Here is a 25,266-nt window from a genome sequence, read left to right on the forward strand (position 1 = left end):
AGACATGCATTCAAAATCCTCATTTCAATGGAAACACGTCCCTTCTATTATGCCGCAAAGCTCTTACAGTAGGCCCCCTTCTCCAGGGTTTTGCTTCCCGAGATTTCAGTTACCCGAAGTCAACTGAGATCTGAAAATATTAAATGGAAAATTCTAGAAATGAACAAGTCATAAGTTTTGAATTGCACACTGTTCTTAGTAGTGTAATGAATCTTGTGCCATCCTGCTCTGCCCTGCCTGGGACATGAATCATCCCTTTGTCCAGCATGTACAGTGTGTGTAGGGAAAAGCTTTGTCCAGCATGTCCACAGTGGACAGCGTGTGTAGGGAAAACCTTTGTCCAGCATGTCCACAGTGTACAGCGTGTGTAGGGAAAACCTTTGTCCAGCATGTCCACAGTGGACAGCGTGTGTAGGGAAAACCTTTGTCCAGCATGTCCACAGTGTACAGCGTGTGTAGGGAAAACCTTTGTCCAGCATGTCCACAGTGTACAGCGTGTGTAGGGAAAACCTTTGTCCAGCATGTCCACAGTGTATAATGTGTGTAGGGAAAACCTTTGTCCAGCATATCCACAGTGTACAGCTTGTGTAGGGAAAACCTTTGTCCAGCATGTCCACAGTGTACAATGTGTGTAGGGAAAAACATGTATTAGAGTTTGTGGTGTGTGTGTGTGTGTGCGTGCACGTGCCTACCCACAGTTTCAGGCACCCCCGGTGGTCTCAGAATGTGTCTTCTCTGATACAGGGGAATTACTCTATAAGAAAATGAAGGTAGGTCACACACTTAGAAGTTGTATTTCAGAGGATAATTGTCAGACGTCATGACTGATGAGTGTGTGAACTTGGCGCGCCTGTTGCATTTCAGCTCCTTTTGACTTCATTCTCTTTCCACGCATGATCTGCCACGCAGGACAGAGTTTTGTAAGAAGGAGGGGCTGCTGAGAAACCGTGTGTTCTGTAGAAATAGACTAACCTTGAAAATGGATTCAATTTCATACAGATGATAGCATTTAAAAATCAATTTCTTAAAGCCACTCATTTTAACCATAGCATTTCAAGTGCTTTATAGCTGTTCCAGTGAAACTTTCTTTAAAGATAAGCAATACCAGTTACATTTCTTTTACCCGCATCACCTGCAGTGATTGGGAGGATGTGGTGAGATTCCTATGCTGGTCCCACGTGGGGTTTCTTCTGGGGTTCCTGGCGTTCACAAGCCCACGTCTACTCCTCAGGGGCTAGAAGGGCCTGAACGGCATCTTCACTCTGATGTTAGCAATTTGAATCTGCACTGATGGGCATGGCAGACGCAAATGTTAAGTGACATAAAATCTGTCTCTGAGTGTGCAGCCTGGGGGATCTGGAAGAACTGCCGAATGGAACTGGGAAAACAATTCCTTAAAATCCAACAAAGGCTCACTCACCAACACAGGGTGGGGGGCCAAGGCCGAGGAGCAGGGGGGCCATTTGTTGGCCAGTGTATGCTCTGCTTGCAGAATCAGTAAGTGAGCATGCTGTTTATTAGAATTCCGCCACAGGCTACAAAGTGGATGAACCTTGAGGACATTAAGCACAGTGAACAGGCCGGCCACAGAGGGACACCCACAATGTGAGCGACTCACAGGAGGCACCCAGAGTCTGCAGATTCACAGAGACAGAAGGCAGACGGGGGTGCCGGGGCTGGGGGTGGAGGGGGCATTTCATGGCGGCAGACGCTCAGTCTGGGAAGATGGAAGAGTTCCGGAGATGGTGACACGACAATGGGAAGGTCCTCATCACCCCTGAGCCAAACATGACACGACGATGGGAAGGTCCTCGTCACCCCTGAGCCGAACACGACACGACGATGGGAAGGTCCTCGTCACCCCGGAGCCGAACACGACACGACGATGGGAAGCTCCTCGTCACCCCTGAGCCGAACACGACACGACGATGGGAAGGTCCTCGTCACCCCTGAGCCGAACACGACACGACGATGGGAAGCTCCTCGTCACCCCTGAGCCGAACACAACACGACGATGGGAAGGTCCTCGTCACCCCTGAGCCGAACACGACACGATGATGGGAAGGTCCTTGTCACCACTGAGGCAAACACCTAAGACAGTCAAGATGGTGGATTTTATATTATGTTTATTTTAGCACAAAAAAGGAAAAAAGATTTATGAACTTAAAAAAGCAGCCAGCATATTGTATTATAGGGGAACATTCAATTCAGGAAATGTTCAGATAAAGAGAAGAACTCATATTATAAAACAACATATGTGATATGACACACATTTTATTCAATATAAATTAGTAAAAGCTTAATATATATTCAAGCTTTTACTAATTTATAATTATATATAATATTGAATTACATATTGAATATATATAATGAATATAGATTCAAGCTTTTACTGATTAATATTAATATATATTTACATACATATATAATATATAATATAAAAATTACATGTAATATATAATTACATAATAATATATATAAATTACATATATAATTATATATTATATATCTATTATATATTTATATATAATTTATAGATACATAAAACATTACAGACACAGCTGTCTCGAGTCACTCAGTGATTGGCATGCCGTCCAAAAATCCATGGCGGAGAGAGACTAAGTCTCTTAAATGAGAAACGCACGCTATTCGTGGGATTTGAGAGAGAGTAAATGTTTTCTTTTGATATTATATATTTATACCATTAATGTGTAGACATGGTCTCCTGAAGGCTCTGCACAAGTCCATGCAATTCTGATAATATTTCAGGAAATGTTATCTCCCCACTGGGCCTGTCATGTGGGCACTCGCCTCTGTGGCAAGGGAGCCTGTGAAACTGTGGCCTCGTGCGTGGGGGGATTTAGGCACCTTTGCGTCTGCACTCAGGAGCCTGGTGTCCTCACAGTTGAGAGGTGGTGATGTGGGGAGGAGAAAAAGGGGAAGAAAACACAGCCCTGGGGGAGGTGACGGGGCAGAAAATGTGCGTGGGGCCTTGTGAGTCTCCGGGGTCTTTGTGAGTCTCTGGGGTCTCTGGTTTTCTGGGGTCTTCATGAGTTTCAGGGGTCTTTGTGAGTCTCTGGGTCCCTATGAGTCTCTGGGGTCTCTGTGGTTTTCCGGGGTCTTCATGAGATTCTGGGGTCTTCGTGAGTCTGTGGTTCCCTATGAGTCTCTGGAGTCTCTGTGGTTCCCTATGAGTCTCTGGAGTCTCTGTGGTTTTCCGGGGTCTTCGTAACTTTCTGGGGGTCTCTGAGGTTTTCCGGGGTCTTTCTGAGTCTCTGGAGTCTGACTCTGGTGGAGGTAAGAAGGGAACGGAGGTGGCCGTGAGTCCCGGTGGCCTATCTGCCCTGTGTGTGTATCACATGCTGGCTGCCCTGGGCGTCGTCTGGGGGTGTTTGGAGACTTCCAGGCTCTGTTGGATTCATGTGGACCCACCATGCTGAAACTTTCAGGGCTTCTCAGAGTCGTATGGCCTTGGTTAACGGTGATGACTGGCAGGGCCTTGGTTAACGGTGATGACTGACGGGGACTTGGTTAACGGTGACGACTGGCAGGGCCTTGTTTAACGGTGATGACTGGCAGGGCTTTGGTTAACGGTGATGACTGGCGGGGCCTTGGTTAACGTTGATGACTGGCGGGGCCTTGGTTGACGGTGATGACTGGCGGGGCCTTGGTTGACGGTGATGACTGGCGGGGCCTTGGTTGACGGTGATGACTGGCGGGGCCTTGGTTGACGGTGATGACTGGCGGGGCCTTGGTTGACGGTGATGACTGGCGGGGCCTTGGTTGACGGTGATGACTGGCGGGGCCTTGGTTGACGGTGATGACTGGCGGGGCCTTGGTTGACGGTGATGACTGGCGGGGCCTTGGTTGACGGTGATGACTGGCGGGGCCTTGGTTGACGGTGATGACTGGCGGGGCCTTGGTTGACGGTGATGACTGGCGGGGCCTTGGTTGACGGTGATGACTGGCAGGTGTCTGCTGTATTCAGGAGTGTGCAAGTGGTTGTTTATTGGAAATCAGTTCGAGGGGTCCCCGCACCCATGTTGGGGCTGCATCTGCCACTGTTGAGTTGGCCTTTGGTGAGGATGCCAGTGATGGACCTGGCTGTGGGAATCTTCTAACAACAAACCCTTTCTGGGCCCCTGCATCAGGTGGCATCACAAGAACACAAAGCGCTTGCTTGTGGGACACAGGATTGCTCGGCCGGCTCGTCTTCACGCATGAATCACCACAGCGAGATGTGTGCACGTTTCCTTCATGCCAAGGCAGAGGGAGCCATGGGGGTACCACGTGTTAGGGTGAGGGGTTGCTGGTGATGGATGATTCAGGAGCAAGAACAGCATCCAGCCCCGGCCACGGTGGAGCCTCAGACAAGGTGGCTGGAGAGGGGCGTGCACTGGATAGTGGAGGGAGGGTTGACGCCAGCCCAGTAAAAAGAGCTCAGGAGTGGGTTCCAGCCGCAGGATCAGCACAGCCATGTTACATCACCAAATAGTGGAGGGAGGGTTGATGCCAGCCATGTAAAGAGAGCCTGGGAGAGGGTTCCAGCCACAGGACCAGCACAGTCATGTTACGGAAATCCCTTTGGTGACAAGAAGTCACGGCACGTGTGGGCCAGAGCAGATGCCTTAGGGGTGGGCGTGTAAAACCACGAGCATCTTCAGAGGGACTTGAACTCTTGACTTAATTGATCCTGAACACGATCAATAACAGAGGCCCGAATGGTTTCTAGCCTGGCCGAGGCGTTTGCTGACTCTGTCTCATTTAATCCTTGGGCTGCTCCAGGAAATCGCCGCCTGCAACCCCGCTTGGCAGAGGAAGAAGCTGTCGCTCCCTGGGCTGGTGGGCTGCACTGAGGGGTTGGGGTCCCGGGGCCCAGGGCTGCCACCTCCTTCCCCAGTTTGCTCCTGTGCCCGAGGCCTGTCAGCGAGGCAGCCCCGGGACCACTCGCACCTGCTGTTGGGTTAATTACCCTTAATTAGGTTGCATCCCTCACCAGAGAGCAGGAAGTGGAGTGTGCTTCCTCCATCTGCAGGGCCTCTGAAGAGCACCGGCAGCTTCCTTCTTAGCAGAGGAGAAAATCTCTGCCATCTCGTGCTCGCCTACCTCGACTCGCCAGACGCCCTGGAGCAGAGGAGGAGCAGTGGTCGGCAGCGGCCAGCCGTGCAGGTGCCACACCTGATGGTCCACCTGGGAGAACCAGGCAGGAAGCCGGAAAGGTGCGGTCTCATGACATGAGGATGTGTTGAAGGAGGCCCACGGGTGCCCCGAATCCCAGTGTACAGGCTCATACTTTATCCTGAGATTTCGGAGTGATGATGTGTCATTGATTTACCTTCTTAACGCCACCTTTTCATATGTGATCCATTCTACAGAGAAAAAGTTCTTAAAAATTACAACCGTGGTGCCTGAAAATGAAAAGTATTCTGAAAGTGAAGACTCTACCACAGTTGTGATTAGTTAGGGCTGTGGAACTGTAGGGGTCTCATGTTGTGGGGATTAACCTTGTTCTGCCTGAAGGAGGAGATAGTGCTGGGAACAGGTTCCCCGCATTCTCACCAGCACCTGTGACTTTTGTCCTTTGATGAGAACAGTCACCCTAACATGGTTCTGGTCCGTGTTTCTCTGATGGTGGGAGATGCAGGGAGGGGGTAGCCATGCTGAGCGGGGGTCTGTGCCTGAGTGACAAGGTAGGAGCTTCCTGCCGGTGCACTATCTACTGAAGGGAGCCATTCTAGGAGGGTTTTCTATTGAAGGGAGCCATTCTAGGGTTTTTTTTTTTTTTACTGAAGGGAGCCATTCTAGGAGGGTTTTCTACTGAAGGGGGCCATTCTAGGATGGTTTTCTACTGAAGGGGGCCGTTCTAAGAGGGTTTTCTACTTAAGGGGGCCATTCTAGGAGGGTTTTCTACTGAAGGGGGTCATTCTAGGAGGGTTTTCTACTGAGAGGAGCCATTCTAGGAGGGTTTTCTACTGAAGGGGGCCATTCTAGGAGGGTTTTCTACTGAGGGGGACCATTCTAGGAGGGTTTTCTATTGAAGGGGGGCCATTCTAGGAGGGTTTTCTATTGAAGGAGGCCATTCTAGGAGTGTTTTCTATTGAAGGGAACCATTCTAGGAGGGTTTTCTATTGAAGGAGGCCATTCTAGGAGGTTTTCTACTGAAGGGAGCCATTCTAGGAGGATTTTGTATTGAAGGGAGCCATTCCAGGAGGGTTTTCTATTGAGGGGAGCCATTCTAGGAGGGTTTTGTATTGAAGGGAGCCATTCCAGGAGGGTTTTCTATTGAGGGGAGCCATTCTAGGAGGGTTTTCTATTGAAGGAGGCCATTCTAGGAGGTTTTCTACTGAAGGGAGCCATTCTAGGAGGATTTTGTATTGAAGGGAACCATTCTAGGAGGGTTTTCTATTGAAGGAGGGCATTCTAGGAGGGTTTTCTACTGAAGGAGGCCATTCTAGAAGGGTTTTCTATTGAGGGGGAGCCATTCCAGTAGGGTTTTCTATTGAGGGGAGCCATTCTAGGAGGGTTTTCTATTGAGGGGAGCCATTCTAGGAGGGTTTTCTATTGAAGGGAGCCACTCTAGGACGGTTTTCTACTGAAGGAGGCCATTCAAGGAGGGTTTTCTATTGAAGGGAGCCATTCTAGGACGGTTTTCTACTGAAGGAGGCCATTCTAGGAGGGTTTTCTATTGAAGGGAGCCATTCTAGGAGGGTTTTCTACTGAAGGGGGCCATTCTAGGAGGGTTTTCTGCTGAAGGAAGCCATTCTAGGAGGGTTTTCTATTGAAGGGAGCCATTCTAGGATGGTTTTCTATTGAAGGGAGCCATTCTAGGAGGGTTTTCTACTGAAGGAGGCCATTCTAGGAGGGTTTTCTATTGAAGAGAGCCATTCTAGGAGGGTTTTCTATTGAAGGGAGCCATTCTAGGAGGGTTTTCTATTGAAGGGAGCCATTCTAGGAGGGTGAGGTGCTTGTCACTTACTTGTGAGTGACACCTGTGATGAACTGTGTTCAAAAGCAAATTATCAAATGAGAATAGAACCATTTGGACTCTGTAGAGGATAAGACTCTAAGGGTTCTAGGAGCAGGATTGCTTCAACATCTCAGACGTATTTTCTTCTGGGAAGAGTCTTGCCAGATAAGCAGAGTGAGAGAGTCTATTAAACCGCACCTGTATACAGCATCTAGCAGGCAGCAGTGAGTGTACTGACAATGCATTTCCCATTCTAACAAAATGTGACTTTTGTGTGAGTTGCTCACCTGCGGGCGGTATCACACACGCATCAAAATAAAAATCAGTGGGGGTACTTAAAGCACCACAAAGTGGAGAGAGCAGAGGCTTTGCAGTGCACTGGTTCTGTGACTTTGCTCCAAGACTTGGTTTTCTCATCTGTAAAATGGAGACAATAGCTCACAGAGAGGCTGGAGGTGAGGGTGACTGAGTGCTTTCTAGATACTCATCACCACTCCAGGGCTGGGAGGCTGGGCTGGCACAGACCCCTTGCTGTTGCTGAGCCCCCGCACCCGGGCCTGCCTAGGCCTCAGATCCACTCACACAGAGGTCAGCGAAGGCTTCCAGAGGCGTCCAAAGGAAGCGTCTGTGCACCAGGTAGATCCTTGTCCTGTGTGGGTCTCATTTGGCCTGAGAAAAAGCCACAGCTCTTCACAGGGAGAGCCAGGGCCCCTCGCGTGGGAAGCTCGTGTGCTGTTATTTTCCAGCGGAATTCCAGGGTGGAAACACGGAGGCAGCTGACTATCGAGAATCCTAGGAGAATGGGCTTTCTGTGTGACGTGTGCCTGGAAGGGCTTCCTGAGGCTTTATTTCCCCTGCTCTTCCCTGCTCTGTCCCAGCAGAGCTGTTTTTGTAAAGCACACATAGTATTTGCCATTCGTCACATTTATTATGCCAGGGACTCTGTTCTCCATCCCCCTCTGTGAGTTACGGCCCATCCTATGCTGTGTTTCCACACCCATGTTGCATTTGGCAGGAGCCTTCCTGACACCGAACCACCCTAAGCTGACAAATGTCTATAGCTCGGGGAGCACGAGAGGGAGCTCACGAGATGGCAGACAGACCAGGATGTGCACAGAACGTAACCCTGGGTTGTGGACTCAGCTTTCCTTCCTGAAGCGCCTGAAGCAAATAGAGAATAGTCGTAGTTGAGCCTGAGTTTCCAGAGGGGCAGAAAACCAACTTGCGTGTTTTCTTTTTATTGTTGCTTTTTTGAAAAAATGGTCCTAATTTCAGCTTGTTTTTCCAACCATGTGAAAGGATGGACTGGACGCTGCGCAGAAGTGGAGATCTTAGGTAAGAAGAAAGGATAGGAAGGTTGATGGGAAATGAATTGGCTGTCACTGTCCTTCCTGTCCAGATGCATTTGGAGGCTTTCTGGAGAATGGTTTCCAAACTCAGTATGTGCTGAATGTTTCCCCAATCTATGGGGAAATGAAAAGAAGACAGTGCAGTCAATTTCTGAAAGTTAACCACTTTCAGCATTAATAGAACAAACGAAACCCTGGGAGCAGCCTTCATGCTTGTTTGACGTTGCAGGGCGGCCTGTGATTGAAGCCGTCATGTAAGATGATGCTGTGAGATGTGAGTGAGTGCACGTGCCTGTGATGTGCGCTGGGTCTGTGAAGTGTGCACGTGCCTGTGACGTGTGCTGGGTCTGTGAGGTGTGAATGTGTCTATGAGGTGTGCATGTGCCTATGAAGTGTGCTGGGTCTGTGAGGTGTGCACGGGTCTGTGAGATGTGCATGGGTCTGTGAGGTGTGCACGTGCCTATGATGTGTGCACGTGCCTATGAAGTGTGCTGGGTCTGTGAGGTGTGCACGGGTCTGTGAGGTGTGCATGGGTCTGTGAGGTGTGCACGTGCCTATAATGTGTGCACGTGCCTATGAAGTGTGCTGGGTCTGTGAGGTGTGCACGTGCCTATGAAGTGTGCTGGGTCTGTGAGGTGTGAATGTGTCTATGAGGTGTGCATGTGCCTATGAAGTGTGCTGGGTCTGTGAGGTGTGCACGGGTCTGTGAGATGTGCATGGGTCTGTGAGGTGTGCACGTGCCTATGAAGTGTGCTGGATCTGTGAGGTGTGCATAGGTCTGTGACGTGCTGGGTCTGTGAGGTGTGTACGGGTCTGTGAGGTGTGCACATGCCTATGAAGTGTGCTGGGTCTGTGAGGTGTGAATGTGTCTATGAGGTGTGCATGTGCCTATGAAGTGTGCTGGGTCTGTGAGGTGTGCACGGGTCTGTGAGGTGTGCACGGGTCTGTGAGGTGTGCACGTGCCTATGAGGTGTGCTGGATCTGTGAGGTGTGCACGGGTCTGTGAGGTGTGCATGGGTCTGTGAGGTGTGCACGTGCCTATGAAGTGTGCTGGATCTGTGAGGTGTGCACGGGTCTGTGAGGTGTGCATGGGTCTGTGAGGTGTGCACGTGCCTATGAAGTGTGCTGGATCTGTGAGGTGTGCACGGGTCTGTGAGGTGTGCATGGGTCTGTGAGGTGTGCACGTGCCTATGAAGTGTGCTGGATCTGTGAGGTGTGCACGGGTCTGTGAGGTGTGCATGGGTCTGTGAGGTGTGCACGTGCCTATGAAGTGTGCTGGATCTGTGAGGTGTGCATAGGTCTGTGACGTGCTGGGTCTGTGAGGTGTGTACGGGTCTGTGAGGTGTGCATGGGTCTGTGACATGTGCTGGGTCTGTGAGGTGTGCACGGGTCTGTGAGGTGTGCACGTGCCTATGAAGTGTGCTGGGTCTGTGATGTGTGCACAGGTCTGTGAGGTGTGCACGGGTCTGTGAGGTGTGCATGGGTCTGTGAGGTGTGCACGTGCCTATGAAGTGTGCTGGATCTGTGAGGTGTGCATAGGTCTGTGACGTGCTGGGTCTGTGAGGTGTGTACGGGTCTGTGAGGTGTGCATGGGTCTGTGACATGTGCTGGGTCTGTGAGGTGTGCACGGGTCTGTGAGGTGTGCACGTGCCTATGAAGTGTGCTGGGTCTGTGATGTGTGCACAGGTCTGTGAGGTGTGCACGGGTCTGTGAGGTGTGCATGGGTCTGTGAGGTGTGCACGTGCCTATGAAGTGTGCTGGATCTGTGAGGTGTGCATAGGTCTGTGACGTGCTGGGTCTGTGAGGTGTGTACGGGTCTGTGAGGTGTGCATGGGTCTGTGACATGTGCTGGGTCTGTGAGGTGTGCACGTGCCTATGAAGTGTGCTGGGTCTGTGATGTGTGCACAGGTCTGTGAGGTGTGCACGGGTCTGTGAGGTGTGCATGGGTCTGTGAGGTGTGCACGTGCCTGTGATGTGTACTGTATCTGTGAGGTGTGCACGGGTCTGTGAGGTGTGCATGGGTCTGTGACATGTGCTGGATCTGTGAGGTGTGCATGGGTCTGTGACGTGTGCTGGATCTGTGAGGTGTGCACGGGTCTGTGACATGTGCTGGATCTGTGAGGTGTGCACGGGTCTGTGACATGTGCTGGGTCTGTGAGGTGTGCACGGGTCTGTGACATGTGCTGGGTCTGGGTCTGTGATGTGTGCATGTGCTTATGGAGTATGCTGGATCTGTGAGGTGTGCATGGGTCTGAGAGGTGTGCATGGGTCTGTGACACGTGCTGGGTCTGTGGGGTGTGCATGGGTCTGTGACATGTGCTCGGTCTGTGATGTGTGCACGTGCCTGTGAAGTGTGCTGGGTCTGTGAGGTGTGCATAGGGTGGGTGAGGTGTGCACGTGCCTGTGAAGTGTGCATGGGTCTTCAGTGTGTCTGCATCTGGCATGTGAGAGATCCAGCAGTGCCATACTGTCCCTGAAATTAGGGGAAAACAATGAGAAACCCAAACATCTGCAAGTAACTGCTTTCCATTTTCAGGGAAGATTTATAGCCTTTTTTTTTTTTTTTTTTGAGAGACATTGAGTGTCCCGCAGCCCTGCAGTGGCACTGTTTTTACAGACCCTCTCTCTCACATACAGCTTTCTATATTCACCCTGCACAGCCCTGACCCCCGGGACCCCACACACCCTCTGTGCCTGGTGCAGGGCTCAGCTACCCCTGTCTGTGGGGCCCTTCCCTGTGGATGGTGCTTTTGGGGGTTTGGGGTCAGGGAGTGTGAGGGTTGGTTCCTTGGCTGGGTAAGTCAGATGCATCTGCCAGCCGAAGGTCACACGTGGGTTTGAGCAGCCTCTCCTTGTGCTTGCTGGAACACATGCTCCACACCCGTGTGCCACCTGCACGCCACAGTGCCCGACTCCGGGGCTGCTTTCTGCCCGGGCCTTCCTCCGCCTTACCAAGCCCAGAACATCACTGATGGCAGGGCTGGAAATGCAAAGATGGCCAAGCTACAGAAAATAAATTAAATACAAAGAAAACATGGAGAGAGGTGGCTTAGTGTCCGACTTGCCTAGTTTCCTGTTGGCGCTCCCAGAGTGATGGCAGAAATCGTCTTCCCTCAGCTCCCGGAAGACCCAGCACTGTGTGTGCTGAAGGCTGTGGATTTTCAGGCCAGACTCCCTGGGTTCACGTTCCAGTCCCCATTTTCTGTGTGACCTTGGGCGTGTTTCTTTTTTTTTTCTTTTTTAACTTTTATTTTTGGTTCCGCGGTACATGTGAAGGCTTCTTACTTAGGTTAACTCATGTCACAGAGATGTATTGTATAGGTTATTTCATCACCCAGGTTTAATTAAGCCCGCTACTCAATAGTTATATTTCATGGTCCCCTCCCCGCTCCCATATGCCACCCTCCGATAGACCCCAGAGTGTGTTCTTCCCCTCTGTGTGTCCATGTGTTCTCATTATTTAGATCCCACTTGTAAGTGAGAACATGCAGTATTTGTTTTTCTCTTCCTGGGTTAGTTTGCTAAAGATAATGGCCTCCAGCTCCATCCATGTTCCTGCAGAGGTCATGGGTCTTATTCTTTTTATGGCTGTATAGTATTCCATGGTATAGATGTACCACATTCTCTATATTCAGTCTGTCATTGCTGGGCATTTAAGTTGATTCCATGTCTTTGCTTTTGTGAATAGTGCTGCAGTGAGCATTCACGTGCATGTGTCTTTATGGTAGAATGATTTATATTCCTCTGGATATATACCCGCTAATAGAATTGCTGGGTTGAATGGCAGTTCTGCTTGTAACTCTTTGAGGAATCACCACACACTGCTTTCCACAGGGGTTGAACTACTTTACACTCCCACCGACAGTGTATAAGTGTTCCTTTTTCTCCACAACCTCACCAGCATCCGTTATTTTTTGACTTTTTAATGATGGCCATTCTGACTGGTGTGTGATGATATCTCATTGGGGTTTTGCTTTGCATTTCTCTAATGATAAATGATATTTAAGTTTTTTCATATGCTTCTTGGCCACATGTATGTCTTCTTTTAAAAAGTGTGTTCATGTCCTTTGCCCATTTTTTTTTTTTTTTTTTTTTGAGACAGAGTTTTGCTCTGTTGCCCAGGCTGAAGTGCAGTGGTGTGATCTTGGCTCACTGCAAGCTCCGCCTCCCCGGTTCATGCCATACTCCTGACTCAGCCTCCCGATTAGCTGGGACTACAGGCATCCACCACTACACCCGGCTAATTTTTTGTATTTTTATTAGAGACATGGTTTCACCATGTTAGCCAGGATGGTCTCGATCTCCTCACCTCATGATTCACCTGCCTCAGCCTTACAAAGTGCTGGGATTGCAGGCGTGAGCCACCGCGCCCGGGCGTCCTTTGCCCACTTTTTAATAGGGTTGTTTTTCTCTTGTAAATTTGTTTAAGTTCCTTATAGATACTGGATATGAGACCTTTGTCAGATGCGTAGTTTGCAAATATTTTCTCCCATTCTAGTAGTTTGTCTGTTCGCTCTGATGATAGTTTCTTTTGCTCTACAGAGGTTCTTAAGTTTAATTGGATCCCATTTGTCAATTTCCCCTTTTGTTGCAGAAATTGCATGAATCATGAAATCTTTGCTCATTCAGGATGATATTGCCTAGGTTGTCTCCCAGGGTTTTTATAATTTTGGGTTTTACATTTAAGTCTTTAATCCATCTAGAGTTGCTTTTTGTACATGGCATAAGGAAGGGGTCCAGCTTCAATCTTCTACGTATGACTAGCCGGTTATCCCAGCACCCTTTGTTGACTAGGGAGTCTTTTCCCCATTAATTATTTTTGTCAGCTTTGTCTAAGATCAGATGGTTGCAGGTGTGTAACCTTATTTTTGGGCTGTCTATTCGGTTCCATTGGTCTGTGTGTCTGTTTTTGTACCACTGTCATGCTGTTTGTTACTGTAGCCCTGTAGTATCATTCAAAGTTGGATAATATGATGCCTCCAGCTTTGTTCTTTTTGCTTATGATGGCCTTGGATATTTGGGCTTTTTTTTGGTTCCATATGAATTTTACAATAGTTTTTTTCTAGTTCTGTAAAGAGTGTCATTGGTATTTTGATAGGAATAGCAATGAATCTATAAATTGCTTTGGGCAGTATGGCCATTTTAATTAAGTTGATGCTTTCTATCCATGAGCCTGGAATATTTTTCCATTTGTGCATTCTCAGATTTCTTTGAGGAGCATTTGGTAATTCTCATTGAAGAGATCTTTAACCTCCCTTGTCAGCTGCATTCCTAGGTATTTTATTCTTTTTGTGGCAGTTGTGAATGTAATTACCTTCCTGATTTAGCTCTCAGCTTGGCTGTTTTTGGTGTGTAAGAATGCTAGTGATTTTTGTACATTGATTTTGTATCCTGCAACTCTGGTTAAGTTGTTTATCAGCTGAGAGAGCTTTTGAGCCAAGACTGGGGTTTTCTAGATATAGAATCTTGTCATCTACAAACAGGGGTACTTTGACTTCCTCTCTTTCTGCTTGGATGCCCTTTATTTTTTCTATTGCCTGATTGCCCTGGCCAGAACTTCCAATACTATGTTGAATGGGACTAGTGAGAGTCGGCGTCCTTGTCTTGTGCTAGTTTTCAAGGGGAATTCTTCCAGCTTTTACCTATGCAGTATGATGCTGGCTGTGGGGATGTCATAGATGGCTCTTAATATTTTGAGGTATGTTCCTTCAATACCTAGTATATTGAGAATTTTTAACATGAAGAGGTATTGGATTTTATTAAAAGCCTTTTCTGCATCTATTGAGACAATCATATGGTTTTTGTCTTTAGTTCTGTTTATGTGATGAATCACATTGATTGATTTGTGTATGTTGAACCAACCTTGCATCCAGGAGATGAAGCCTACTTGATTGTGGTGGATTAGCTTTTTGATATGCTGTTGGATTTGGTTTGCAAGAATTTTGCTGAGGATTTTTTTCATCGATGTTCATCAAGGATATTGGCCTGAAGTTTTCTTTTTTTGTTGTGTCTCTGCCAGGTTTTGGTATTAGGATGACGCTGGCCTCATAGAATGAGTTGGGGAGGAGTCCCTCCTTTTCAGTTTTTTTTAATAGGTTCAGTAGAAATAGTACCAGCTCTGCTTTATACATCTGGTAGAGTTCAGCTGTAAATTCATCTGTCCTGGGCTTTTTTTTGGTTGATAAACTATTCATTACTGATTCAATTTCAGAGCTTGTTATTGGTCTGCTCAAGGAATCAGCTTCTTCCTGGTTCAGTCTTGGGAGGGTGTAAGTGTCCAGGAATTTATCCATCTCTTCTAGGTTTTCTAGATTGTGTGCATAGAGGTGTTCATAGTAGTTTTTGGTGGTTATTTTTATTTCTGTGGGGTCAGTGGTAACATTCTCTTTGTCATTTCTAATTGTATTTATTTGGGCCTCCTCTCTTTTCTTCTTTATTATTCCAGCTAGCAGCCTATCTTACTAATTTTTTTTTTCAAAAAATGAACTCCTAGATTCATTGATTTTTTTCAATGGTTTTTCGTGTCTTGATTTTCTTCAGCTCTGATTTTGGTTATTTCTTGTCTTCTGCTAGCTTTGGAGTTGATTTGTTCTTGCTTCTCCAATTCTTTTAATTGTGATGTTAGGTAGTTAATTTGAGATCTTTCCAACTTTTTGATGTGGCATTTAGTGCTACGAATTTTCCTGTTAACACTGCCTTAGCTGTGTCCCAGAGATTCTGGTATGTTCTTTCTTTGTTCTTATCAGTTTCAAAGAACTTCTTGATTTCTGCCTTAATTTCATTATTTACCCAAAGTCATTCAGGAGGATGTTGTGTAATTTCCATGTAATTTCATGGTTTTGAGTGATTTTCTGAGTCTTAACTTCTACTTTTATTGTGCTGTGGTCCAAGATTGTATTTGGCATGGTTTCAGTTCTTTAGCATTTGCCTGAGGATTATGTTCAATTATGTGGTCTGTTTTAGAGTGTGTGCCATGTGGCAATAAGAAGAATGTGCATTCTGTTGTTTTGGGGTAGAGTGTTCTATAGAGGTCTGTCATATGCATTTGGTCCAATGTGGAGTTCAGATCCTGAATATCTTCATTAATTCTCTCTCAGTGATCTGTCTAACACTGTCAGTGGAATGTTGACGTCTTCCACTATTATTGTGTGGGAGTCTTTTTCTCTTTGAAGGTCTCTAAGCCCTGCTTTATGAATCTGGGTGCTCCTGTGTTGGATGCATATATATTTAGAATAGTTAGGCCTTCTTGTTGAATTGAACCCTTTACTGGGCATGTTTCTTAACCACGGGGAATAACTTTTCATCTGAAAATTGGAGTAGTAATAACTACTTTATAAAAATATTGTGAAGATTCTGAGTTTGTGTATGTAAAGTGCCTAAGACAGTGCCTACCACACCATAGATGCTGTAGAAATTTAAATGATCTAAATACAGTGGTGGCATCTTTAGGGATCCTTCTTGTAGGCAGTGGTAAAATCAAACAATTCAGAGGACGGAGGTGTAGCTGTGAAGTGTCTGTGCTGCCAGGGATCCCCAGTGCTGAGACCACTGGCTATGTAGAGTTACAGCTGGTGCTTTGGCATGAGAATTCACATCAGCGGTCAGCCACACTCATTTTAAGGCACAAATGACAGTTTTCGAATTTGTTGAGATGATCTCATTTGGGCTCTTCTTCTAGTCAGTCATTTATCCCTGCCACACACAGGGGACTGTGCCAGGTGTATGGAACGTTGTTGTCCTTTGCTCAGTGATGGGACATAATGGGCCTGGAATCTTCTAGAAGGCATGAGAGCATCACTCATAGACATCAGTGCCCAGGAAACGATCCCAGCAGACAGCACCGTGGGAGCCATTCACTCCGTCAGACGTGGCCAGTGACAGTCACTTGGGAGGACTTTCCAGGGGTTCTTGGAAAGCTGGGGGTGTGGGCCTGGTGGGTGTCTGTGGTTTTGGAGATCTTGGCCTTGATGCGGTACGCAATCCCATCCCCATGGGGTGCGCAGGCGTCAGCTGGGGACACCCGCACTGGCCTTCCGTGTGAGAAGGGAGCAGGCCCTCCCCGTTCATCTGGGTCCTGACATGCTCTTGGGTTTTCTGTATTGTCAAGTGACTAAGGGTTACCGACCACCCTCCAAAGCACCAGCTGTGTCTCAGCCACAGCCTGGACGAAGAGTGAGCGGTTGATGCCCGGAAGACTTGGGGTCAGAAAACCTGGGTTTGGATTTAAATTCTACAATTTGGTGCTAGATAACCTTACAAGAGGCATTGAGGGTTTTCTTATTTCTTCAGTTTCTTTATCTGTAAAGTGGGGGTGACAATATTCACCTCACATTGAGAATGGGGCAGATAATATATTTGAAAATATCCAGTAATTACAATCCCTGCACTTAGGGAGGCCAATGTGAGTGAATTGCCTGACCCCAGGCATTTGAGACCAGCCTGGGCAACTTGGCAAAACCCCATCTCTACAAAAAAATAAAAACAGTTAGCCACACGTGGTGGCATGCCTGTAGTCCCAGCTAACTCAGGAGGCTCTCAGAGGTGGAAGGATTGCCTGAGTTCAGGAGGTCAAGGCTACAGTGAGCTGTGATTGTGCCACTGCACTCCAGCCTAGGTGACAGGGCAAAACCCTGTCTCAAAAAAAAGAGAAAAAAAAAGAGAATATTCATTACTGTATCTGGAACACGAAGAACTGAATAAAAATTAGTTGACTCTGAGTCTGAACACAGTTGATGGGAAGACAGAAACCAAAGCAAAACCTCTTCCGCAGCCAACAGCTACTGGCTTCCTCTGCGGAAGGGAGATCCCAGGATCGCTTCTGCCAAAAGAAAGCTGAAAAATAAACCCGATGTGCAGTCCTCAGATGAACCCTGTGCTTCTCTGCAGGATCCCAAAGCTTTATGGGTTTTTAAAATTTGCTACAGCAATTTCATCTCCTTGGGACCCAGCATCAAGAAGAGGTTTTGGAAAACCCAACACCGTCTCTTTGACCTGTCTTGGAAAACCCAACACCGTCTGTTTGACCTGTCTTCTTGAGGTGAGCCTGTGGACAAAGCACAGTGCCGAGCTAGTGCCTCGGGGCTGTGCCCTCTCTGAGGCTGATGGCACAACCCTGGGCAGGTGTGCAGACAGATCCCACCACTCAGAGGTGCCACACTGGGGACGCCACGCTGGGGATGCGGTGACGATGCACGGTCTTCTTTGAGCCAAGAAATTGAAGCCAAAGGTTAGAAATGTGTAGTGGGTTATGGGTGATCAAGTGTCAGATTCACAGAGAAGAAACAGGCTCACGGTGGGAAGATGCTTAGAAATGAGGACTGAGGGTGGGGTGGACGCTGTGTAGGACAAGCCTGAACCAAGACGGCCTTTTCATTCCTGACCGTCAGATTCAGAGAGAAGAAACAGGCTCATGGTGGGAAGATGCTTAGAAATCAGGACTGAGGGTGGGATGGACGCTGAGTAGAGCAAGTCTGAACTGAGATGGCCTTTTCATTCTTACCCTGTGGTTGCCGGAGTGAGGGGAGGGCAGTAGAGAGGAGGGGGAGGCGGCTGTTCTCCAGACCAGGACTCTTTGTAAGACACCCCCAGGGGGCTCCCCCAGGAGAGCAGGCACACAGAATCACCTGCGCATTCTTGACACTCACTTGGGCTCAGAGCCTCCCCCTTTCACAGTGGGCAGCACTGGTTCACAGTTAGGCTTTTGAAAGTTTTTTTTTTTCCTTTAAGAAAATCAGACAAAAGTATCAGCAATTCAAACATGGAAAAAGCATTTTAAAATAAAAGTTAATGAGTAGATACCGTTTTCCAGATGGAATAGTTCCAATGAAATTATAAAGCAAATTCGTTAATATTGATATGCTTTCAAAAGTTGTATAGATTCATTTGGTCTTAAGTGGTTTTGACCTGAATGCTGTACCTCAGCTCCCAAAAGCATTGCATGTCAGTTGACAGAGGAGCGGGCGGAGTGGGGAAATTAACCGCAGTTCAGAAAGTGCTTTAATGGCTTTTTCTAAAATGCATTCATTACACTTTAAATAGGCCATGTCTGGAGATTCTGAAGTCCCTTATGTAAGTAGGATGTGAGCTCGGGGGAACTTCTTCAGCTTCACTCTGGTGCTGATTCCAGCATCTGCAGCTCTTGACCCCGTAGTGTGTGAGCAGAGACTGAGAAACTTTCGAAACTGCATTACATTGTCTTTGTTCAGTTCCTTACGTGACTGAGGACAGTGAAAAGAGCCCACCTGGTGTAAAGTGCTCATTTTAGCTGCCAAGAAAAGCCTAATTTATTTTCAGGGCAAAACTTCTGCACTGGGACAAATGTCTTCATTATAATCCAAAAGCAGCATCAGGAAAAGAAGCTAAACTGTGCGAATAGAAATGAATGGGGCTGCTGCTGCTGCTGCTGCTTTCTTTTTAATCAGTAGAAATGGAATTCTGCCTCCCAAACAGAAGTCTAGGAGGAACTGCAGACGGCCCCTGTACTGAGGGCATTTTGTCAGTGCTTAGAGCAACCTTCAAGATCATGACACTCTGCTATGAGGACCGAAAGAACTTGGAGATAAATATACATGTACTATGTGGTGGGACCGTTTTTGAATCTGAACTAAATTAAATGATGGAAAACGACCTTGGGTGAGTTCTTCATGGCTGTACTTCCTGGAATGATACAATTTTTCAAAATAATTTGTTTCCTCGAAATGACACCAACACCTATAGTTAAGTTTAAATTTATGGGACTAGGTGAGTGTTATTTTGTGAGACATAGCATTATGCTTACATAGAATAATTTATCGTTTGATGTTCAATATCATTTTATTTAAGCATAACTGTGGAGAACCATTCAAGTGACTGTATAATTACTTCATATAAATACTTAATAGACAACTTTACCATTAACTATTTTCCTACTACTTTATAACCGATTCTATTTTCAATTGATAAGTGATTTTTTCCCATTTAAGTACTGATTTGCAGTTTGGCCCATATTATTTTGCACTGAGATGGCATAAATGCCACATCCTTCCCGCACTTAAGGCATGCAATTTGCAGAATAAGACGTAAATTTTAAGTAGGTTTGGAATCTTTTGTAGGACTACTTTTATTTCAGCCTTTGACATAATATAAGCTTGTTAATTCATCTGCAAAATATTTTAGTGTCCAGCGTGTTTAGCTAGAAAGAAGCTCCAGTTGCCTCCCCATGCTCTTACATGGGAGGCTGACTGTGCATCTACTGCAGTGCGTCATGTGAGTGCTGGTTTTATTCCATGACACCAAGAACATTGCTTAACTTCTGTACTCATCAGTTCATAAATGAGCACAAGGCCCATTGCTTCTCGCAGTTCAGCCCTGCTGCTCTTCTTCAGCAGATCGGGGTAGCAGGGGCAGTAGCTGAGAGATGCTGAGCAGCCTGAGGCTTCTGGGTGCCGTGCCTGGAACTGGTCCCACCACAGCACACACGCTGTTTCCTCATGTGAACAGCTGAGCTTCAAGTGATGGCATGTGTGAGAGGCTTCGCCACTCAACTTTGAATTTAAGTATCCCCAGGGACTGTCAAACTTTTTATATCCAATGGGGAATTTCACCTTGAAGTTGGACCACAGCTGCCTCTAGAGTTGGTACAAGTTGTGAGAGTCACAGTTGACCCTACCTTGACTTAGGAGAGTGGTTGGCACCATGATTTTAAATAAAATACAGTGAATGGGGTCCAGCACCCTAGCTTATTCTGCTTTAGGGACTTCTCACTAGAAAGGTTTCCTTGTAGTTGGGAAGACCCTTTCTGGAAGGCTGCTATAGGAAATGGCTAAGATGAAAAGTGGGACTCAGCACTTTTAGGGCTGGGCTGAAAAATGAGTCTGCTGGCAAAACCCTGTGTCAGGCAGCAACTTATAACAAAAACAGGAAAATCCCTACTACATCTTAGCTAAGTTGGAAATTCAAACATCTTTGCAGGTCCCATTTCACCACCGTTGGGTCTGTGGACGTAACCCTACTGAGAGTTAGGCTAAGGGTTCAGCCCCTTCATTTATGGGAGGAGGAAGAGAGCCATCCTCCATGCAGCTGCTTCTGTGGCTCACACCCAGACACGGAGGGGTCAAGCAGCAGTCAGGGCCAAGGCCTGAGAAGCTCAAATCACACTCATTAGGCATCTTCGTTCCAGCCAACATGCGTCCGAATGAGAACAATACGAAGGGGCACCCCTTCAGAATTTGTGAACACTAACCCTAGTCCTTCAGATACCATGACAGCTATGCTGGTATCTTAAGAATCCATGACTGTCCATTCTAGACCCTTCAGAAACCATAACCACCTTTCTGCTACTTTCATAGCCCACAGCCACCCATCCTTCGGAACCCACAGCTACCCAGCTGCCCATCTTCATCCCCTCAGAACCGATGACCACCCATCCTTGTCCATTAGGACCCATGACCACCCATCCTTGCCCATTAGGACCCATGACCACCCATCCTCATTCCTTCAGAACTCATGACTATAAACCCTAGTCCTTTGGATGCCATGATGCCTATCCTGGTATCTTTAGAATCCGTTACCGCCCATTCTAGACTTTGCAGAACCCATGAACACCCATCCTAATTTATTTAGAAACTAGTCATTCTAGTCCCATCCTAGTCCCTTCAGAACCCCTCGTCTCCCATCCTCGTCCAGTTAGAACCCATGACCACCCATCCTTGTCCCTTCAGAACCCGTGACCACCCATCGTCATTCCTTCAGATCCCATGACCTCCCATCCTCATCCAGTTAGAACCCATGACCTGCCATCCTTATCCCTTTAGAAACCCTGACCACCCATCCTCGTCCCTTCAGAACCCAAGACCTCCCATCCTTATCCCTTTAGAACCCCTGGCCACGCATCCTTGTCCCTTCAGAACCCATGACCTCCCATCCTTATCCCTTTAGAACCCCTGATCACCCATCCTCATTCCTTCAGACCCCATGACCTCCCATCCTCGTCCAGTTAGAAGCCATGACCACCCATCCTCATCCAGTTAGATCCCATGACCACCCGTCCTCCCCTTTGGAACCCATGACCTCCCATCCTTGTCCAGTTAGAACCCATGAACACCCATCCTCGTCCCTTCAGAACCCATGACCTCCCATCCTCGTCCAGTTAGAAGCCATGGCCACCCATCCTCGTCCCTTCAGAACCCATGACCACCCATCCTCGCCCAGTTAGAACCCATGACCTGCCATCCTTATCCCTTTAGAAACCCTGACCACCCATCCTCTTCCCTTCAGAACCCCTGACCACCCATCCTCATCCCTTCAGAACACATGACCTCCCATCCTCATCTCTCTAGAACCCATGACCTCCCATCCTTGTTCCTCCAGAATCCATTACCACCTATCCTTGTTCCTTCAGAACTCATGACCACCCATCTTCTTCCCATTAGAACCCATGACCTCCCATCCTCTTTCCTTCAGAACCCATGACTACCCATCTTCATCCCTTCAGAACCCCTGATCACCCATCCTCATGTCTTCAGAACCCCTGACCACCCAACCTCATCTTTCCTGAACCCATGACCACCCATCCTTGTCCCTTTAGAACCCACAACCACCCGTCTTCATCTTTCCTGAACCCATGACCACCCATCCTTGTCTCCTTAGAACCCGTGGCCTCTCATCCTCATTCCTTTAGAATTCATGACAACACATCCTTGTCTCTTCAGAACTTATAACCTTCTATCCTTGTTCCTTTAGCATCCATGAGCATCTGTCCTATTTTGGCCATTTGCTCAGAATTTCATTTAATGGGAGACAGACCCTCCTAGGTATTGAGTGCTTCTTTCTCATGGTGTTGCCCCAACCCATACAGAATTTCATTTAATGGGAGACAGACCTTCCTAGGGATTGAGTGCATTTGCCCCTCGTGGTAATGCCCCAAGCCATTGAGCCAGAGATTGCACTCCCTTAGGTGAACTTTGAGCCAGATGTGGACTGGTGTTACTACGGTTACCATCAGGTTCCGGTCTTGTTTATGGCTTTAGGGATCATTCGGTTCCACAGCAGACTCTCATTTCATGGAAGAATGAAATGGGACATCACTGGGTGACCCTGTTTCTCCTCTTCTGTCCATGGAGACAGAGTTTTCATGACACGCACAGGTTTTGCCAGTTGGATCCTCTGGTCAGGACTGAAAGAACCTCTGAGTCACTGGTGACACATGAGATTCTAAATGGCTTTCCCTAGGATGGGCTGATCTTTACCAATGGGCTGTTTAAATGTGCAGCTGAGGAGGATTCCTGGGAGCTCTGTTACTGCCATCCAGAGCTGAGGGGAACGTAGAGAAAGATCACATTTTTGATCCCACAATAGGTTGAATCGCATTTAAGAAAATCCTTTTTCTTTTATCATAAACTGTTTTGTCATAGTAAACTTGTTTCCCTTTGGTGATTTATGTACATTTTTCCTGCTTACTATGTGTAGGTCTCTCAAAAATACATATTGGTTTTTATAACAAGGTAGAACTGATACTTCTCTTTGAAGAATTATTTTTTAGTTGATAAAGTAGAAGCTATACTCCCTTTCTTCCTCCCTCTTTCCCTCTCATTTCCTCCCTCCCTTCATCTTCTTTTTTCTTTTTTTTTTCTTTTCTGGAAGCTGTCTTTTTAAGTTTGATTCAGTCTTGAAAATACCATTTCTCTCATTTCTCCTGACCAGTAGCTCCCCTCGTATTTGATGGTGAAGATTTGTTAGGCTCTAAATGGAATCATAGGAGCTCTGGGAAGAGTGTGATACCAGCTCTTAAGAACCTCACACAACAGGAGCTTTGGCTTAGGTCCGCCAGATAGAGGGTGATCAGGAGATACAGTTAAACTCAGCATAATTCTATGCCTTCAAATCTTTTATACAAACTGGGTTGGGGGCACTAAATATTCAAATGTATTTGAAAATAACTATGCAAATCTTTCTGTCAAAATATCTCACATTTCAGAGAATAAGTTTCGCTCAGAAGCTTGGAATGATCGCCTTTGACAATTTTGTGAATTATGAACCAAAAGGCTTCCCCATTAATCAACTTTTATAGAAATTTTAGTTACTAATGGCTTTTGCATTCTAAAATGTAAAGCAAAGAATAATGAAAAATGTTTTTTATTACTATAAACTCACATGGTGGTTCTTTTATGTTTCACTTCTCAGTTCCCATGAGGCGGGTGATAATATTTAAATTTGCTCAAGTAACACCTGAGGCTTAGTAGGTACAGCCTCCACCCGGTCAGAATGAGACACCAGGACCTAGTGAGTCCATGCCCATTGTTTTCCAGTAAACAAGGAGGTTCCTCATAGTATTTTCCAAGCACACATATCATGGAAAGATGCCTGTTAGCTTTGGAGACTCTAAAAGGAAAAATCATTACAGTGTCAGATGTTTGGTCTAAAACCTGGAAAAGTGATACATTATAAACCTGAGAAGGCCATTCAAATAATGTGTAATTTATCTTTCCTTTATTCCTAAGGGAAAAAAAGAAATAGTTCTATGCACAACCTCTTTTTCTCTTTTTTTCTCTATGTACAACCTCTTTTTCTCCTCCTCCAGTTCCTAGGTGTCTCTCCCTGCCTTTCTCTCACCACCTTCCTGACTCCCTTTAGGAATAAAACTTCAGCACTTTGTACATTTTTCAATATTAATTAATAATGTCAAGGATTAACCTCACCTTTTCCTCAGTATTCTTTCCTGTTTGCCTAAAAATTATTTTATTTTTCAGAAGAATTTTCTTTCTTCTGAAACAAAGAACATGGTCTAATTGACAGCATGCATTCAGGTTGCTCCCCAGAGCAGGCAGTGACCTTCTTTTCCTTGCCTGTTTTTGGAGGAAGTGAGAGCGTGGTATTCTTAAAAAAAATTCAGCCCTTCATTTTCCCTGTATGCAGACCAAACAGCACTGTCCTGGCACCGTGAATGTTTCTCATGCATATCGTTTCCCCAGAGTTTAACGCCAATAAAAATGTCAGGTGCTAATCTAAATGCTGTCTGTGTATTGACTGATTCAATTCTCATAGCATACATAGAACATAGTCCTTGGTTTCCATTCTGAAGACAGAAACTGAGTCAGCAGGGAGAGGACCATGGGCTAAGGAACTCGCCAAAGAGAAGAGCCTGGAAGCGGCTCCAGGGTTTCTGCTTCCAGAAGGGTTTCCACTTCCAGAAGGGTTACCTGTGGCCCAGACTCCTCTCTCAGGGACCTCAGAGCTGAGTCCAGGGCCCAGAACGTTGCTGCCAAGGGCTTCTCCTCAGACTGTATGTTTGAGAAGCTGGGCCACTTAAGTAAGCTACATTTAGCCACCATGACTTGGCTAATGTTTTCCTATGTTTCTATTTTTATTACTCATCAAATATACTTTTCTGTTTGTTTTCTACCATTCATGATATGTAATTGTGAATTGAATATTCTCACCATTTTATAATCTAGCTGTGTTCCTGCACTAAGCTGCTTAAGAAAGCCAAGCAGCTGAAAACAGGAAACCTGCATTTTAGCTAATCTGTGTTTTTGATCCTAAGCAAACATATGATTTTCACTATCTTTTGAAATACAGATAATAACCATCAGTGTCATTGCTGTCATCTGAAATGCCACACACAGCCCCCGTGTGGTGTTTTCATTTTTCCCATCAAATCATCTCGTTTTAGTGGGTAGAAGCCAGTCTGCAGGATGGCTGAGTGGGGCCCGGAACCCCAGGCTCTGGGTTTCAGGCATGATTCCCATTCCAGTTGCTGAGGCTGCCCTCAGAAGGCTCTGCCCCTATACCGAGGAGGCATCGTCCCCCTCATCGCTGACTGTCCAGCACCTGCTCTGCCCCCACACGGAGGAAGCATCGTCTCCCTCGTCTCTGACTGTCCAGCACCTCCTCGTTCAGGGTCTGTATTTCTAGTTCTTTGAATCCTGTCATGTCTTTGCATTCCATAAGACCTCTGCCTTCTCTGGCAGACTC

At 46.8% G+C, this 25,266-nt stretch overlaps 1 protein-coding gene and 1 long non-coding RNA gene across 3 annotated transcripts in view, besides 2 other annotated features; both read left to right on the forward strand.

Annotated features, from left to right (window-relative positions):
• The window catches only part of DLGAP2 (DLG associated protein 2), a 970,849-nt gene that overhangs the window by 362,220 nt on the left and 583,363 nt on the right, over positions 1 to 25,266 (forward strand). The window lies entirely within an intron of this gene.
• Positions 4,590 to 5,091: an enhancer, noted in NCBI's record as "H3K4me1 hESC enhancer chr8:1054437-1054938 (GRCh37/hg19 assembly coordinates)". NCBI's record gives its function as "activates a minimal SCP1, AML or CMV promoter by ChIP-STARR-seq in primed H9 embryonic stem cells {active_cell/tissue: H9 hESC(primed)}" and the evidence as "EXISTENCE:reporter gene assay evidence [ECO:0000049][PMID:30033119]".
• On the forward strand, positions 5,761 to 24,301 carry LOC124900249 (uncharacterized). The gene is made up of 2 exons (XR_007060781.1): positions 5,761 to 9,082; positions 9,771 to 24,301. It is a non-coding gene; the product is annotated as an uncharacterized LOC124900249 (long non-coding RNA).
• Positions 8,368 to 9,284: an enhancer, noted in NCBI's record as "H3K27ac-H3K4me1 hESC enhancer chr8:1058215-1059131 (GRCh37/hg19 assembly coordinates)". NCBI's record gives its function as "activates a minimal SCP1, AML or CMV promoter by ChIP-STARR-seq in naive and primed H9 embryonic stem cells {active_cell/tissue: H9 hESC(naive and primed)}" and the evidence as "EXISTENCE:reporter gene assay evidence [ECO:0000049][PMID:30033119]".

This window comes from Homo sapiens, chromosome 8 (assembly GCF_000001405.40).
Source record: "Homo sapiens chromosome 8, GRCh38.p14 Primary Assembly".
NCBI lineage: Eukaryota > Metazoa > Chordata > Mammalia > Primates > Hominidae > Homo > Homo sapiens.